The sequence below is a fragment of the Homo sapiens genome, chromosome 11, assembly GCF_000001405.40.
Source record: "Homo sapiens chromosome 11, GRCh38.p14 Primary Assembly".
Lineage (NCBI taxonomy): Eukaryota > Metazoa > Chordata > Mammalia > Primates > Hominidae > Homo > Homo sapiens.
The window spans coordinates 94437744-94457236 of NC_000011.10; the positions used below are offsets into that span (position 1 = coordinate 94437744).

General features: G+C 36.9%; 1 protein-coding gene across 37 annotated transcripts in view; it reads right to left on the reverse strand.

Annotated features, from left to right (window-relative positions):
- The window catches only part of MRE11 (MRE11 double strand break repair nuclease), a 96843-nt gene that overhangs the window by 22174 nt on the left and 55176 nt on the right, over positions 1-19493 (reverse strand). For 17 of the 37 annotated variants that reach the window (XR_007062482.1, XR_947828.3, XM_011542837.3 and 14 more), the window contains 3 exons: positions 18533-18595; positions 9476-9695; positions 8067-8150 (listed from right to left, as the gene is read on the reverse strand). Coding sequence is in view for 33 of the 37 variants with exons in the window: in XM_011542837.3 (XP_011541139.1) it covers positions 8067-8150; positions 9476-9695; positions 18533-18595 (367 nt within the window). In the remaining 4 variants the exon portion in view is untranslated. The remainder of the gene's footprint in view (positions 1-8066; positions 8151-9475; positions 9696-18532; positions 18596-19493) is intronic. The other 20 variants (XR_007062483.1, NM_001440472.1, NM_001440465.1 and 17 more) reach the window with 5 other exon arrangements.

Below are 19493 nucleotides of genomic sequence, written 5' to 3' on the forward strand. Positions count from 1 at the left end.
TCCATACCTTTTTTCCTTTTAAACTTGGTTAGATACTTGAAGTTTAGCTAGCTCTTTATCTTTCCCTTTCTTTTTCCTTGACATCGAAACCTACAATAAGGCCAGGCGCAGTGGCTCACGCCTGTAATCCCAGTGCTTTGGGAGGCTGAGGCGGGCGGATCACTTAAGGTCCAGAGTTCAAGACAAGCCTGGCCAACATGGTGAAACCCCAACTCTACTAAAAAATATATAAAAATTAGCCAGGCATGGTGGCAGGTGCCTGTAATCCCAGCTACTTGGGAGGCTGAGGCAGGAGAATCGCTTGAACCCAGGAGGCAGAGGTTGCAGTGAGCCGAGATCGTGCCACTGTGCTCCAGCCTGGGCAACAGAGCGAAACTCCGTCTCAAAAAACAAAACAAAACAAAACAAAACAAAACCTACAATAAATTTCAAACGTCTAATTTAGGTTTATTTTCTCCTATGCCTTACCAGTTTGCTAATATCAAAAATATCTTCCCCAAGATAACTCACAAACTAAATAGGGCACAGAAAAACAAACAAATACTCAAAAAATCCTGCAAAGTCCAAAATTCTCCTAGTCAGAAAACTAACGAATCTTTCTATCTAACCTAAATTTATTGTGTTTGCACATGTTTCCTATTCTAGGTTCTGTCCCCAAACTTGTAATATCTAAGAGGAGAAACGAGAGGCAGAAACAGTGTTCTTATCTGCTTTACTCAGTTACTTTTTTCACATCCTACTCTACTCAAAAGGCTAGACAGAGCAACTGAATAAAAAATCCAGTGATCATGATGATTTCAAAGAATATTTCTGTTCAGTATTTATTCACTGACTCCTTTAACTCTGAGATCCTAGAAAACAAGATACCTTTCTTTTTATCCCACTGGAAGGCAAAAGATGAGTGATGTTGTGAAATAATTTTATCAGAAAACTAAGCAATATGTTCTGTTAGGAAGACAATAAAGTGTGGTGGTTAAAAGCTCTGGTTTTGGAGTTAGACTCATTTTGACTTACTAGCTTGACTATGGCCAAGCTCCTTGGCTTCTTTAAAACTCAATTTCCTCGCCTGTAAAACAGTGTTAATACTTCATGCAGAAAACTGCTGAGAGGGTAAGAGGAAGTGTCTAGCAGATAGAAAGCATTCAAATACATGTAGCTGTTTGGGTAGCAAACATAGTAGCAGCAGTGGTACCCATAGTGGTATAAATGAAATGTAAAGGCCGTGACTTCAGAGGTACTTTTATTCACCTAGCCACTATCCTCTGCTGACTAACTTCAATGGAAAAATCTGGGCTGTCAACTCCTATTTACAACTCCCGTGGCTACAAGTGTAATTTTTATCTTTTCCAATAAAATTGCAGCACAATAATAAATTTCCATACTCCATGGACCTTGTTATAAGAGAATTTGACCTTTATTTATCTCTTCACTCCTCCATTTAAAACAGAGATCTAGAAGTTACAGTCTTAATTTGTTGCTTCTGTCCCAAAGTGATGACAAGTATAGTTACTACTTCACAGGTATTCTGTCAGAGACTTAAAAAAAAACCCACCAAATCCAACCTGATAAAAATGTTTCACAAATTTATACTTAAAAAATCAGTTCATTTTTCAAAAAAAGGCCTAGTACTGGAGGTAATCAGTTAAGTTAGCGAAACCATTATATCAAATCAATTAGATAAAAGACAAATTTAGACCAATGATTCACATAATATTCATCTTCATAATCTTATTGCAAAACACTACCACTAATATTAATAACAGCTATCATCTGTCGCATTTTTACCAGGTGCTGTGATCAGTACTGTAAATACTTAAGCTCATTTAATAAAATTACTCTGAAGTCAGTACAACATTGTCAAATTTTATAGCTAAGGGATCTGATGCTTGTAGAATAACACCAGTTTGCACTTACTGAGGGCTTAATATGCATAGACACTGCCTGATACTTCACATGCATTTTCTCATTAATCCTCAAAATAACGCAATGAGGTGGACGCAATCATTGTCCCATCCTACAGATGAGAACACTCATTCCTAAAGATGAAAAACTTAACATATTTGCTGGAGGACACACAACTAGTAAAATTGAGAAGTCAGGATCCAAACCAAGATCTTCCTCACTTTAGAACCATGGTCTTCACCCTTACGCTACACAATCTCCAAGTAATTTTTACTCAGTCATTGTCAAGTATTTAACAAGCATCTACTATGTTATGTGCCAAATATAGTGGATACAGTGATGAGGAGGAATGATGCAGACCCCTTTCTCACAGCACTTACAGTGCAAGGGTGCTAAGCCAGCAGTAAAGAGCTGGCTGTGACTGACCCAATGGACCTGACTCCAGAGCCTGCATTCTTAACCATCATGCTCTGCTGCAAAAGGTACCATAATAAGATTTTTGCTTACAACATAATTCAGGAAATCTGACGTTTCGTATTTAGTTTATTTACATAGCCTCTTTTCATAGATGAATACTGTTTCCTTAAAAAAATTAGTCAAGCCATTCTGTAAAACTTTTAAGGCATCATAACTGGTCTCCAGTCTTTCTACACAAATAGAAGCTTTATTCTATGTTGTCAATGGGTAACAGTCATTGCAGGCTAGGTTATTCAGACAAAATGACCTCTCATTGTCTTCAAACTCACTTCTGCTGACAACAATCCAAATTAGTACCTCAAACATTTAAAAAAAAAAAAAAATTCTCAATGGCATTGAAGAGCTGATCACATACCAAGGAATTACCAGGCCAAAACTGAAGAAAAGCTAGAACTCAGAGAGGTAAGCAGAGTCCTTTCCCTGAGTTCACTTTTCAATTGGGAAAATGTTAACATTGGTTTTGAGAATCCTGAAGAAAAATAGAGAGGGCTACCACAGCCCACGGCTGCCCAAAGTGAAAACCCCGATGCATTTCCCTTCCTAAGGTGGAGCCCCAGTGGTTGAAGAGAGAAGCAGAGGTAAACAGGATTTCATAAGCATGTAACTGAGTACCCTCATTTTTCTAAGAGGTAGTTCATTACTTTTTCTCTCTCTTCTTTTCTCCTTTCCCCCACTTTCTACTTAGTTCTTTAGAAATGCAACTATAGTCTTTTACTTCCTCTTCATCAGAGACTCCCTAAAAGGGGAGTTCATCTAACTATGTGCTTGGAAGCTCCAGAGTTGAACTATCACCCACCAGGGGGTTGCCTCTAGAGATAACAGTCAATTCACAATCCAAAGTCCTGCTATGAAACTCTCGCCAACCTAGAGAGTATTCGGCCACCTTTATAGCCTATTTCTACCCATGAAGATGCCAATTCAACTGCCTGGTAGATAAGACACCAAACTAGAATGCAAACCCCCCACTTGCTCGCTTCCTCCCCTGCATGCCACTCCTGATAGGTCCCCTTTAAAAGAGTCCACTTTCTGCTGCAAAGGGGGAAGCAGTACCCTTAAGGTAGGAAGCCTGTATTTCTTCCCCTAAGTTCGCTTTGGAATAAAAAGTCACTTTCTTTATACCACACCTTGCTCTTGTTAATTGGACTTTGCAAGCAGCAAGTGACTGAACCTGCATTTTAGTTACAAGTACGTATCAAATGACTGGTCCAAGAAACCCTCAAATTTAGCTTAAAGTGGTCTATGACTTGTGGTGCCCTACAAACCTAGAGAAACAAACGTGAATCTTCTCTGAAGGAAGATGGCTTCATCCAAGGTCTCAAATTATTCCTGTTGATAATTTTCTAGGGACAGTAAGTAACAAAGCATGGAAGGAAATAAGTCACCATAAATAAGAACCCACAGAAACAGACAACAGAAAGAGGCCAAAGACATTCAGACACTAGGTTATTAGATACAAAATAAAAGAAGTCCTTACTGTGTACACACGAAAAATTAAAACAGGCCTAAAAATATCTTCAGAAAACTTCTAAAAACTATTAAAAGTGACAGAGCATATTTTAAAGGAAGCAAATAGGCTGGGCAAGGTGGCTCATGCCTGTAATCCCAGCACTTTGGGAGGCCGAGGCAGGAGGATCACATGAAGCCAGGAGTTTAAGACCAGACTAGCCAACACAGTAAAACCGTGTCTCTACTAAAAATACAAAAATTAGCCAGGTGTGGTAGTGCACATCTGTAATCCCAGCGACTCGGGAGGCTAAGACAGGAAAATTGTTTGAACCCCGGGAGGCAGAGGTTGCAGTGAGCCAAGATGATGCCACTGCATTCCAGCCTAGGCGACAGAGAGAGACTCTGTCTCAAAAAAAAAAAAAAAAAAAAAAAGTGATCAGAAATAATTATTCAGAATGTAGCACAGAAAGAGAAAACAGAAAATACAAGAGTCATGTGAGGAGAGAGTAAAGAGGTCTTATCATTATTTAACTGAAGACTCAGAAGGAGAATAAGAATAGCATAGAGGTAACATCTGAAGGGATAATAGCTAAGGATTTTCTAGAAGTGACGGAAGATAGCAGTTCAGAGATTCATGAAGCCCAATAATTGCTAAGCAGGCTAAACAAGAGTACCATCTTTAGATTCATCACAGTGAAACTGCAGAACACCAAAAACAGCAAGCTGAGAGAAAAACAGGTTATTTTTTAAAAAACAAAAACCAACAAGCTTAACTGATATCTGATTTCTTAATTACAGTGGAAACTCAAAGACGACTCATTTTAAGTGATGAATTCTACCCACTGGAGTCAAGGAAAGCTTAACATAAAACAAGCCAGGACACTGGATTCCACAGGACACAAAAACACAAAAACAAAAAAGAAAAATAAAACAAGACAGGACAAAAAAAGACGATTTGGGCTAAGGTAAAGGTGGGTAATCTACATCTATGACTCTGTCGATTGCATGCTAACCAATTTTGGTGGTTTAACATGGAAGTGTTCATTATTTTATTCACTCTTTTTCTATGTTCCTGTTTTCTCATTTTTAAAAGAACACTTGATAAATGCCTACTGTGCCAGGCTTTTTGATCATTTAATCTTCAGAATAACCCAATACAATAGAGATTATTATTTCCAATCATATCTAAACAAACTAGGAGAGTGACTGATTTGTCTCAAGTCACAAAGCTGTCATTTGTTGAATGCAAGGTTGAACTCAGCATGAATCCTTTACAATTTTCCAGGCTGCCTTTTCTCTCTTTCTTCCTCTCTGCTTTTATATTAAACCTACCAAGAATGGAACAGCATCTTTCCAGATACCACTCCCTAAATGGCAATAAAGACAACATGTTTGTGAAGCAAAAAGCTAAGGATCTTAGCTAGCTCTTCTGAAGTACTAAATAATACTTGAGTAAAAATATAGCAATGGAATTTTTTGTAAGGTTTAAGAGTCATTTAATCAACCTGATTTTGTATCTTTTCTTCAATGTCAGCTGTCATTTGATAAATGTTGAAAATTCCTTTAATGGAGTGATACTTACTTCCAAGGCAAATTAGTCCATCTTTATATTAATTACATAGGTTATTCTGCATAATGCAAAAATTATTCTATGGAGAACTAGTAGCTAGGTCTCTAATCTTACCTTGCTCTGGAAACTAGTACAGTGGTCAACTACTGGTTGTAGAGTGCAGAGAATGTGAGATCATTCCCAGATCTGGTACTGACAAGTTATGAGATCTAGGATAAGCTACCTATCTTTTTAAAGCCTGTTTCCTTTTCTGTAAAACAGAAATAATATAGTAAGTACCTACCCCACAGACCTGTTAAGAGGCATGCAGTTTCATAAATATTAGCTATTATTGCTACTATTAGTGGTTTTATCAACTCAGGGCAAAACTGCTTGGCTTAGTTCCCTCACATATAAAACAGGGGAACAAAGTTGTTCTTAAATCTTCCAGGTCCATTCTATCAGATGAGAAACTTAAATCAGTATGTTTCTAGCTATTCCCATCCATCCCCATTGGGCCAGGAGTTCTTAAGCTGGAAAACACGAATGCGCCTCATGGGAGTGGCTGAACCCTTTGAAATTGGGTGCAATTGCATGTGAGTACTTATTTAAGGAGAGAAGACATAGCTTTCATCAGATTTTTAGAGAATCCATAAGCCAAAATAGATTAAAAAGCATTGCCTTTGGGACTAAACAGATCAAATCTATTCATTCCACATTTTACACGATAGAACATAATCTACATAAAGATCTGAATGTTTCCCAGGTTAGATATCCTAAATCCTAAGTTCCTTCAACCAATTTTTTTTTTTTTTTTTTTTTGGAGACGCTCCGTCACCCAGTTCAGTGGCATGATCTCGGCTCACTGCAACCTCCACCTTCTCGGTTCAAGTATTCTCCTGCCTCAGCCTCCCAAGTAGCTGGGACTACAGGTGCACGCCGCCCTGCCTGGATAATTTTTTGTATTTTCAGTAGGGGACAGGGTTTCACCTTGTTGCCCAGACTGGTTTCGATCTCCTGAGCTCAGGCAATCCGCCCGCCTCAGCCTCCCAAAGTGGTAGGATTATAGGCATGAGCCACTGCGCCTGGCCAACCATTTTTTATATTATTTGGTATCTCTTCTGAATGATCATATATAGTTGACAGTCTCCTTGAAATATAATTCCAAAGAGGAGTACAGTATCCTTGGCATGTTATGGCCAATTTAGTACACAGAGAGAACTTCCTTGCTGTGCAAGCTTGTCCAACCCACCTCATTTTGTTATTGTTTTTGTTCTGTTTTCGTTCTGTTTTCTTTTGTTTTAGGCTTTTAGCAGCTGAAGCCATGGTTTTTAGTTTCTGTCGCTAGTGATATGAGGAAAAGAAGGATGAGAAAAGGGCTTTACTGGCCCAACCAGAAACAGAAACTAAGAATCCATGACTGTATTCTCTCCCTTGGACACCTCTGCAAGACTCATTAAATGCTGTTTAAAATATCAATAGATTTGGACAGTTGGGTATGCCTGCATAACTCTTACTGACCTAAGTCTTTTTCACCTGGGTTGCTGTTAAACTCACATACCTCTCACAACTCTACTTGTGCAGCTGTCCTTTTGGACATAAATGTGGTTTATATTACCCTTGATAAACTTCATCTTCTGAGAATTAGTTCAGCTCCCCAGTGTGTCAACAATTAATCCTAGCTATAAGATTATAAATATTACAATTATAATATTTAAAAAATATTTATAATTATAAAAGTGAAACAATAACCTCAAATAACTGATAATATAAATAATATACATATGAATATATTCTAAATGCTAGGTAGAAAAAAGTATCACCACCTATCTTAATGCATACTTTTTGTAAATATGACTAACATTTTAGGCTGATCTCATCATCTATAATATTAAAAATAGTTAAACAGATCCCCTTGAGGCCAATTTTTAGACCATAGGATATACACAAATTAATTCCAAGGGCCTAGCCATAATTTCTCTTAAATATAGGTCACATGACTTCTCTATATGGAAAGCAGAGACTGACAGGGCAGTATGGGGGAAGCAAGGAAACAGTAGAGACAGTTCCTCTCTCTTTCGACCACTGTCCATATAGTGACCAACTACTTCACTTTCCTGTTTCCAGGGTCTCTCTGCCAAACAGAAACAGCATTTGTCTGAAAGTAAGAAATTATAAAACATAATTTTTGTTTTGTTTTGTTTTGTTTTTGAGACGGAGTCTCTCTCTGTTGCTAGGGTAGAGTCCAATGGCATGATCTTGGCTCACTGCAACCTCCAGTTCCTGGGTTCAAGTGATTCTCCTGCCTCAGCCTCCCAAGTAGCTGGGACTACAGGCATGTGCCACCACGCCTGGCTGATTTTTGTATTTTTAGTAGAGACCGGGTTTCACCATGTTGGCCAGGCTGGTCTCGATCTCCTGACCTCGTGATCTGCCTGTCTCGGCCTCCCAAAGTGCTGGGATTACAGGTGTGATCCACTGTGCCTGGCCTATAAAACATGATTTTAAAAGCTTACCCTCTTCAGTAACTCTAATGCATAGCAAAGATCTTTTAAAAAATAATTTATCCTGTGATCCTAATTGCCCTTATAACTTCCCAATGATTGCAACACAAATAAGGGCTACCAATGGTGATTACCTTGGTCTTTCTAATGTTGGAATTTATAAATAATCACTTGCAGTCTATACTCACCATCTATAATAGACATATTTCTAGATGCTGACACAGCAGTCTTTGAGTTCCTGCTACGGGTAGAAGTCTCCAGACCAGTGTCTGCTGTTAGAAAAATGAACAGTCAATGTACAAGCCTATCAGCAGCTAAGGTTTATTTCATACAACACTAAAAAATGAAAGCTAAATAAACTTATGTCAAATAGTTTGTCTGTAAAAAGCCAGACATATATATAAGAACAAACATCTAGAGTCTGACCAATTTTCAGAGACTATTCTTTTAGGCCACACTTCAGTTTATCCAATTTAATTTATCCAATTAAAATGTAAGGAAATAGGCTGGACGTGGTAGCTCACGCCTGTAATCCCAGCACTTTGGGAGACAGAGGCGGGAGGATCACTTGAGGTCAAGAGTTCAAGACTAGCCTGGCCAACATGGTGAAACCCCACCTCTACTAAAAATACAAAAATTAACTGGCATGATGATGGGCCCCTGTAATCCCAGCTACCTGGGAGGCTGAGGCAGGAGAATTGCTTGAACCTGGGAGGCGGAAGTTGCAGTGAGCTGAAATCGCACCATTGCACTCCAGCCTGGGCAACAGAGCAAAGACAAGACTCCATCTCAAGAAAAATTAAAAAACAAAAATAAAAATTTTTAAGGAAAAATTTTGTAAATGTAAGAATAGTGAAAATAATCATCATTAAAAGATGAGGATTTCTCTCCCTGGAGATTTTAAACCAAATTAATATTCATTTCACCAGCTTAAAATTCCTATGGATGCATATTTAATAAAAACAATTTTAAAAAATCTTTAGAGATGAACTGACATAATGTGTGAGAAAGTCACTGAGTGACCAATTTCTATTGGCGTGAACTATTCAATGACAATAGTCTCACAGTAAATACAATGTTGACTATGTTAATGACTAGTTTTAGGAATCAAATTGGGGGGCAGTTTTCTTTCTTAAACTGACTTTATAAAGACTACTTGATAAGCATATGTGTATTTGTATCTTATGACAGTAACAAAAATAATAATTGTATGATCTGGAGTTTTCCTCCTGTTGCCAAAGGCTTTTAGCTATTTTCTTTAACAACTCATATTTGCCTATTACTTTGCACATGTGAAAATACATATGACATTAAATGTATCCAAAAGGTACTACGTGACAAACACAGTGAAGCTTTTATAAGGTATGTGCTAAGAACAATTAAAACCCTAAGTGCATGTGGCCATTCAAAATTTATTTAAGTAAAAGGCACATGTCAGAACTGCCTTAAAGACTGTCTTTATATATTATAAAAATAGATTTTTAAAGAACCGTGTTTTAGAAATAAAACTTATAATTCAACTCTGACAAGATCTAATTCTGTATTTTCCACTCAACTGCCAAGTGTGAATGTGCACAGGACTGAACTCAGTGCTCACCTCTTCCTCTTTGAGACCCTCCTCTCGATGCTGAATTCTGCCCTCTTCCACCTCTTCGACCTCTTCCTCGGCCTCTTCCTTTGTTGGTTGCTGCTGAGATGCTATCATCAGAGTCATTAGCCATCTGTTCTGCTAAATCTATACTCATAAGGTCATCAGCACTAAAGGCAGAAGCAGACTCCTCTGACTGAGATCTGAGTGCTCTGGCCCTGGTCATAGCCTAAGAGGGAGAAGAAGGAGAAAGTACACACAATGAGATAACGTACCATCCTAAAAATCATTAATTTAGGCATTGACATGAACTAATCATACTATAAAAACATAAAGGAGGCTGACACAGTGGCTCACGCCTGTAATCTCAGCACTTTGGGAGGCCGAGGCGGGAGGATCACTTGCACCCAAGAGTTTGAGACAAGCCTGGGCAACACAGCGAAACCCCGTCTCTACAAAAAAAAAAAAAAAAAAAAAAAATTAGGCATGGTGGCATGCACCTGTAGTCCCGAGCTACACAGGAGGCTGAGGCAGGAGGATCACTTGAGCCTAGGAGATACAGGCTGCAGTGAGCTATGATCACACCACTGCACTCCAGCCTGGGTGACAAAGAGAGACCCTGTCTCAAAAATAAAAATAAAAACAAAAAATATTTATATATGTGTAAAGGAGAACCTCCCCACCAATCAAATTTAATACTTATTATCTGTCAGACCAATCTACCATACTACCTATAAAATGAGACCCTTTGAAAAGGTTTACCAAGAAAAATAAAATTTTACAGAATCAAAATTTTCAGAACTAGAAGGAATACTGGCAATCATCCCTAATTCAATGCCACATTTGACAGTAACAGACTGTCATCATTTGAGCTACTTTTTAGAATCGGCTCCTAGGAAATAATAAGAAAAAAACTTACAAAAAATAGCCGTTATCTCTGGGCACTAATATTTTAGGGTGCTTTTGTTTTTTGTTCTTGAATATTACATATTTTCTATATTACACTTTTTCTAAAAAATTAGTTTTATAATCAGAAAAAAACATGAGTAACAATCTCTCACAAATATATGGTAAAGAGAATTAAGGGCTGGGCGCAGTGGCTCACACCTGTAATCCCAGCACTTTGGGAGGCCTAGGTGGATGGACTGCTTGAGATCAGGAGTTAGGGACCAGCCTGGGCAACATGGCGAGACCCTGCCTCCACCAAAAATACAAAAAAAAAACACAAAAGAACAAAATTAGCCAGGTGTGATGGCATGCACCTGTAGTCCCAGCTACTTGAGAGGCTGAGGTAGGAGGATCGCTCAAGCCTGGGGGAAGCAGTGGGGAGGGGAGTTGTTGCAGTGAGCTGAGATTGCACCACTGCACTTCAGCCTAGGTGACACAGTGAGACCTTGCCTAAAAAAAAAATGAAAAGAAACGGAAGAATTAAGGAGAATATATCAACTGAAAGCCTAAGCCTAAGAAGGAATAAACACCTTAGGACCAAGAACATGCCACGCATTTTTAATTTGGTAAGAATCCATTTAGAAAAGACATCGTGCCACTGCACTCCAGCCTGGCAACAGAGCGAGACCCTGTCACCAAAAAATAAAATAAAATATAAATAAAAGCAATTTTGCCTTGATCTTCCCTTAAACCAATCAAAAGGTAGTAAGAGAACAAAAACAAAATACATTTTCCATAAAATTAAAAAATAGTTCCAAACCCCCAAACACACAAACTATAAAGAAGAGTTAATGAATATGATAAATATTTGACCTAGCTAAGGGAGAAAGGTGAGAAGAGTTTCAGGTATTATACAGCTCTCCAAAACTGATGTATAAATCCCAAGAAGACATGATAACAGTCTCTCTTGCTTGGAATGGCAGTTCTGGGTCTAAGAATAGCTGACCAGAACATTTCTAAGCTCTGTGATACCATAAAGTAAGGAGACCCAGGGCTAAATGAGGAGATGTGAACAAGGCAGGCAGCATAAAGTGGGACTGAAGTGGCAACTTCATGATGAGATGATCTCAGCTGAGGTGAAATCACAGCTAACTCACTGCATGCAGGGTTCAATACAGCATTACAATGCAAAAAGAAAACACTTCAGGAAATACAACAAAAAATATAAGAAACAACAGTGATTTCAATTCATCTTTCCTGTCCCACATGAAATACAGTTAATCCTCATTATTCATTAATCCTATATTTGCAAATTCACCGACTTGCCAAAATTTCTCTGTAACCCTAAAAATCAACACTCACGATACTTTTGGCATCATTTATGGAGACGCAGAGTGGTAAATATTTTGAATTGCCTGACACACATATTCCCAGCTGAGGCTGAACAATGAGCCACTCTGCCTTCTTGTTTCCACTTGTGTACTTTAAAGTGTCCTTTCTGTGATAGTCATGCATTGCTTAATGATGGATGCCTCATGAGAAATGTGTCATCAGGTGATTTCATTATTGTGCAAACATCATAGTGTGTACTTACACAAAGCTAAATGGTACAGTCTACTACAAACCCAGACTATAGGAGATAGCCTATTGCTCCTTGGCTACAAACCTGTACAACATGTTACTGTACTGAATACTGCAGGCAATTATAACACCATAGCTATGTATTTGGGTATCTAAGCATATCTTAATAGAAAAGATATAGTAAAAATATGGTATTATAATCTCATGGGACCACCACTGGATATGCAGTCTGACATCGATCAAAATGTTGTATGTGGCACATGACTACATATTTATTGCATTTTCTGCATTTTTGTACTTTTGCTTTGGTAATGTGGTGTTTTCAAATGACCCCCTCAACATGTTTAGTGTTCATTCCTACATGCAAAAAGGCTGCAATATGACTTTTGGAGAAAAAATGTATATTAGATAAACTTAATTCAAGTATAAGTTAAAGTGCTACTGGCTATGAGTTCAATGCTAATGAATCAAATGTTAAATACAGTATCTTTAAACAGAAACACATTAAAAAGATTACGTATTGATCAGCTGACAAAAACGTTATCAGTGGCTCATAGAAAGCTAATTTTGTATTTCCCCTAGGAGCAATGATTCACCATTTGCTAATTCTGTGCTGGAAGTGATTTTATACGACATAACTACCACAAATAAAAGGAACCAGCTGTATGCTTTTAGAAAGCAGACTTAAGAGAAAAAAGATGATCTAAATCACATAATTAATAAGATAGATCTAATTGATAAATGTTGAATTCTATACACTGAAAATTAATAATATACTTCAAGACCCCATGAAACTTTTTAGCTGATACATAACAGGGTGCAAACAAAAATCTCAATACATTTTTGATAGGAGAAATAAATTTATCACACTGTCTAATCATCATGCAATAAAATAAAAAATTAATAATAAAGCAAAAACCTGCCTCCTGAAAACAAACCAGAGTCAAAACTATAAAACAAAACGAAAGTTGCAGAACATCTAGAAAATCATAACAAGAATACTGAACATCACAACATATGAGAGAGCTAAAGCAATGCTTATAAGAAAGCCTATAGCCTGCTAAGAATAAATGTAAATAAGTTAATTCTGTATCCAAAAAGCTAGGAGAAACAAAATAAAGCCTATCCAAGTATTAGAATGAAGATGAAACCATATATTAATAGATTTTAAACAAAAACACATTAGAATGAATAAATATAAGCACTGGTCCTTTGGGACAAAACAATAACATTAATAAAAATCACAAAGCTTTAAAGAAAGGAAGAAAACACAAATATACATCATTAGAAATAAGAGGGACGGGCGTAGAGGCTCACATCTCTAATACTAGCACTACAGGTGTAGAAGCTCACATCTATACTTTGGGAGGCCAAGTCAGGAAGATCACTTGAGCCCTGGAGTTAGAGACCAGCCTGGGCAACATAACGAGACTCCGTCTATATAAAAAAAAAAATTAAAAATTAGCTGGGAGTGGTAGCACACTACAGAGCAAGACCCTGTCTCGAAAAAAAGAAAGAAGGAAGAATGGGAGGGAAGACCCAAGACTTATGAGAGAATGCTCAATTCTAAATAATCTGGAAAATGAATAACTTAATCTGATCCAAGGTGGGAAAAAAACAGGTTCAACAAACCAATTATCAAAGAAAATTTTGAGAAAATTATTAAAAGAAAAATACTCCCAAAAAAGGACCACAATCAGAAAGTTTCGTAGGTAAATTCTACCAAACTTTCAAAAAACAGATAAGCCCACTGCTATTTCAATAGTGCCAGAGCATACAGAAAGACAGCTTCCAAACTGTTTTCACAATGCCAGTATGACACAGTACTGACAAAGAACTGCGTGCACAAAAAGAAAATTACAGAATCTTATTTATAATTATGAAAGCAAATAGAGACTCCAGAAGCTTATGGAAAGACCAATATATCCATTACCAGGGGGTAATGGATATATTACCAGGATGGGTCAATAAGCTATGTACATAATAATATAACTCACTATATTAATGGAACAAAGAAAGAAAAAACCCAAATGTATATCTTCATAAAATCAGAACCATGTAATCACCAATCATTCCTGATTTAAACAAATAAGCTGATGAATAAGTGGATACTTTATGTGTCAAAAAACCCTAAATATGCTATATTACTATGTGTATATATCCAGAGAGAGAAAGAGAGGGCACACACACACAAATGTGTTCAAGTGAGTGCTCTTACAAATCAATTAGAGAAAGACCAATACCCGGCCAGGCGCGGTTGCTCATGCCTGTCATCCCAGCACTTTGGGAGGCCGAGGCGGGTGGATCACCTAAGGTAAGGAGTTTGAGACCAGCCTGACCACCATGGTGAAACCCTGTCTCTACTAAAAATACAAAAATTAGCTGGGCATGGTAGCGCGCGCTAGCTACTCGGGAGGCTGAAGCACGAGAATCACCTGAACCCAGGAGGCAGAGGTTGCAGTGAGCTGAGATCACACCACTGCACTCCAGCCTGGGTGACAGAGTGAGACTTTGCCTCAAAAAAAAAAAAAAAAAAGAGAAAGACCAATACCCTACTCGAAAGAGAAAATGTGGCCAAACAAAATGACCATGTGTTTCATATAAATACAAATGATTTATAAACATAAAAATTAGGCAGACTCATTAGTAAAAAAAAGTAGTATGAACTGAAAACAACAGTAGGAAATAATTTCTTACCCCTTAGACTTGTAAAGATCAAAAGATACAGTAATACATCACGATGGTAAAGATGTGAGGAAACAAGCACTCCCAAATACTAATGGTGAGAATATAAACTAGTTAAGACATCTTTGGACTAATGTGGCAGTATGTAGCAAAATTTAAAATAAATATGCCCTATTATGATTACTTCTTGGAATCAATTACTAACCATCATTTCTAAACTTTGTATTTTCCCTTTGTCTAAATACTGTATCTTCATTTTTATCATCTCAAATTGTATATTCAAATTGTATTTTAACTCTACCTTTCCTATGAAAAACAGAGTTTACTGTTATCTTTGGAATGTATTACTTCTAAGAGCTTAACTCATGAGTGCAGGTCTAGAGCCAATGGCAAAAATGTTTCCATATACATTTTGTGAGATTTGAAAACATACTATCCTACTGTTAAACACTTTTTTTTTGTGGTGAAATATACATAACATAAACTTACTCTTTTTACCACTTTTAGGTATAGTAGAGTGACATTATGTACATTCACATGGTTATGCAATCATCCCCCCATCCATCTATAGAACTTTCTCATCATCCCAAACTGAAACTCCATACCTATTCAACAGTAACTTCACATTCCTCCCTCTCCCCAGTAACCACTATTCTACCTTCTGTTTCTATGAATCTGATTACTCTAGGTACCTCATATAAGTAGAGTCATATAATATTTGTCCTTTTGCAACTGTTTTTTTTTCACTCATAATGTTTTCAGAGTTTCATCCATATTGTAGCATGTATCAGAATGTCATTCCTTTTCAAGACTGAATAATATTCCATTACATGCACATACCACATTTTGTTTATCCATCTATCTGTTGATGACCAACTGGGTTGTTTCCACTTTTCGGCTATTGTGAATCATGCTGCTACGAACACTGATGTACAAATAAGTTCCTGCTTTCAATTCTTTTGGTTATGTACCTAGAAGTGAAATTGCTATATTACATGATAATTCTATGTTTAACTACTTTAGGAACTGCTATCGTTTTCCTCAGTAGCTGACCCATTTTTCATCCCCACCACCAATGTATATGGTTCTAATTTCTCCACATTCTTGCCGAAACTTGTTATTTTATGGTGTTTTAATAACAGCCATCCTAATGGGTGTGAAGTGGTATCTCACTGTGGTTTTGATTTGCATTTCTCTAATGTCTGGTGATCTTGAGTGTCTTTTCATGTGCTATAATTTGTAAAGCTTCTTTGGAGAAATGTCTATTCAAGTCCTTTGCCCATTGTAAAAATTGGGTTTTTTTGTTATTGTTACTGTTGAGCTTTAGAAGTTTTAAAAATATATTCTGCTTATTAATCCCTTATCAGATGTATGATTTGCAAATATTTTCTCTCATTCTGTGGGTCACTTCTTCACTATTGATAGTGCCTGGTATTATATTTTGAAAGAGGGTATCAACCCACCTCAAATTGAGGTAGAACATAAGAAATCAGAGGCCAGGTAAACTAACGACTGTGGGTAAGACTAAGAATAGTTTTTATATTTTTAAAGGGCCATTAATAAAAAAACAAACAAACAAAAAAACACAAGAATATGTGATAGAGACCACACATGTCCCGCAAAGCCTAATGGTTACTGTTTGCTCTTTTATTCAAATATGAATTTATCATTAAAGAAAAGATTTGAGAGTTTTTCTATGTGAACAAAAGATTTTTTTTTTTTTTTTTTGAGACAGGGTCTTGCTCTGTCATCCAGGTTGGAGTGCAGTGGCGTCATCTCGGCTCATTGCAACCTCTGCCTCCTGGGCTCAAGCGATCCTCCCAGTTAAGTCTCCTGAGTAGCTGGGACTACAGGTGGGAGCTACCATGCCTGGCTAATTTTTGTATTTTTTGTAGAGATGGGGTTTTGCCATGTTGCCCAGGCTGGTCTCAAACTCCTGAGCTCAAGAGATCCACCTGCCTCGGCCTCCCAAAGTGCTGAAATTACAGGTAAGTCACAATGCCCAGCCTGAAAGACTTTAAAGCATACTGTTTTTTCTCCAAATAGAAGAGCTAATAGTCTTGTTTGTCAGTATAAGTAATTTAAGCATGGCGCTGGGATTCATATTCTAAGCCAAATGATTCTGCAAAGCTGTGAATTACAGCTTGGCAGAGTTTCAGACTCCATTACCTAAGTTCTAAATAGTATGCTGAAAATGAAAAAATATATAATATCTTATGATATGCTGAAAAATTACCTAGGAAGCCCCAATTACATTTTAGTCTTAAAATATAGCTGAATATCTGAACTTGTAAGTTATTTCTTCTGTAAAACTCCCATATGAAATTTGTCACAGCCTCTCCCACCTTCCTTGTATAAGACGTTCACTCTTAACTCTTTTAAAAGCTTAATGAAAAATTGAGGTTTGTCGCTTCAAACATGAAGAACTCACTCAAACGTAAAGAAATATTTCTGTACCCTGTTAAATTGAAAGGGTTAATCAATTTTAAGCTAGATATTTAAGAATCAGGAATCATTTCTTCCTAGCATTATTCTTGCAATTTGGCAAACTATTTCTATTTTAAATGCACCTTATAAGATAAATAGAAATATAATAAACGTGTTAAGCCATTTCTAATCTATAGCTTCTTTTCCTTAGCTTCCAAAAAACAACCTGTAAAAGATACAGTGGTTGCAACTATGTGTATTTCAACAGTGATTCTGATGTGTTGCATGACACTTTTAGAAGTTTTTCATTTTTAGAAAACCATCCATTTGCAATGCACCGAATTAATATTATAATAATCTAAAATTTTGATAGGACACAGGATGATAGAAAAGTCTACACTTGGAGTCAGAAATATGTTCAAATTCTAGCGCCACTCCATGACCTTGAGTCTGGTCTGTCTCCTCATTTATAAAATGGGCACCTAGGAAAAATAATTCAATAAATATCTTCCTTACACAAATGTCTCTTATCTACTAAATTGAGAAAATCTTGTGGCTACAGACCTCAGCTTTTTTATATGTACAGTCCTAATATAAAGCAGAATATCTAACCCATAACAGGGACAATATAAAATGTTTGCTGAATGAAAGCAATCAAGACAAAACTAACAGTACATAGTTTATAACTTTTAAATACTAGATAGCAATCATAAAACACTAAGGGCAATCAGAAAATAAGAAAATACATTTCAATCATAAATTCAACAAGTACCAGGTAGAGGCCCCAAATTTAAGTAAATGGTTGCTAACTTGTAGATTCAAACCTGCAATGAGACTGAGAAGACAGTGATGATGGTGCTTAAGCTAATTTTAATATTTTAGAATAGATAATAGAAATTGTCTATTTGCCCATGCTTGCTTACTTATGGTTAACATTGCTAACCAAAACACTTTAAGTTTCTTTTTTGCCCAAAATAATATCAGCTCAGTAAGATAAGATTTTATCTATAAGATGCTCTGCTAACAAAGAGATATTATTTTGAGTAATAGGGGCTTTTGTTGTATATATCCCCACACACATACAATTAAATGGGTTTTATTTATTTTTATTTATTTATTTTAGAGACAGGGTCTCACTCTGTTGCCCAGGCTAGAGTGTGGTGGTGCAGCCATAGTTCACTGCAGCCTTGAACTCCTGGGCTCACGCAATCCCCTCCAACCTTAGCCTCTCAAGTAGCCAAGACTACAGGTGTGAGTCACTGCACTTGCTAAACAGGTTTTAGACAAGAACAAAATGGAAAAAAAGAGCAATGAGCAGAATATTTGTAGGCTGAACTGAAATCAACCAAAAGCAGCCATCCTAAGCCAACCCCAGCTCACTCCTATCCCCTAGACCTATGGACTGACTATTCTAACTAAACCTACTGGTTATTCTAGTTTAAGAAAGTGATATATAAACACAAGAATTTGCAGCAGAATAATTACCTCACGGACTTCATCATCTTCTTCATTAGTATTTTTTTGTCTGGTTTCTCTGAAACGACGTACCTAGATCATAACAGAGTAAATCACAAACATGTTGCCTATTCCAGTTATGTAAATATAAAACAAGGGGCTACAATTAAGAAATGCTTTATGTTATAAAACTTGCAAATTTAACAATGTCTCACAAAAGTAAATCATATTTTTCCAATTATTAACGTTAAAATTGCACAATGTACTCTTAAAAAAAAAAACTCATATTGACCCGAAGCAAAATTATATTACCTGCTGCCAAAATGTTTCACATCACTGAAAAAGTCTTTCAGACTGTACAGGAAAAATTCTAATACCCTATGGGTATTACACTTCAGTAAACTAGTTAAAAACAAAAATATCTCCTTGACAAGGCTTGAAATATTTATTACATTGCAAATCACTCTTGTGCACCTTGCTGCAAGACATCCAGGAGGCTCTGTGAAATGGGATCTGAAGTGGGTGGCCCCTGAAGATCCATTTTTATTAAGAGTCAACTCATGAAGGTTTGCTGAGCATGGTCCTGGTATCAAGAAGGAGACTACAGGTTTCTTTTTTAATGGTTCCTGCTCACAAGGCTCTTATTATACAGCTATGTATATGTTCTTTAAGCCCATTTATTTAATAATCTACTCAGCACATATTTACTGAGCACCTTCAATGTGCCATATATTATCGTAGAAACTGAGAATACAGTTATTAACAAAACAGACAAAAAGCTGCTCTCATGGAATCTATAATCAATTGATGATATGGGAGAGGGAACAGCAAATAAGACTCCAATGTAAGAGGCTGGAGCAATTAGAGGAATCAACAAAAGACACTGAAAATATGCAGCCAGTGAGGCAGGAAGATAACAAGAGTCTGGTATCCTGAAATCCAATAAAAAACATGTTTCAAAGAAGGTCAAGTGAGATGTAAGATAGAAAAC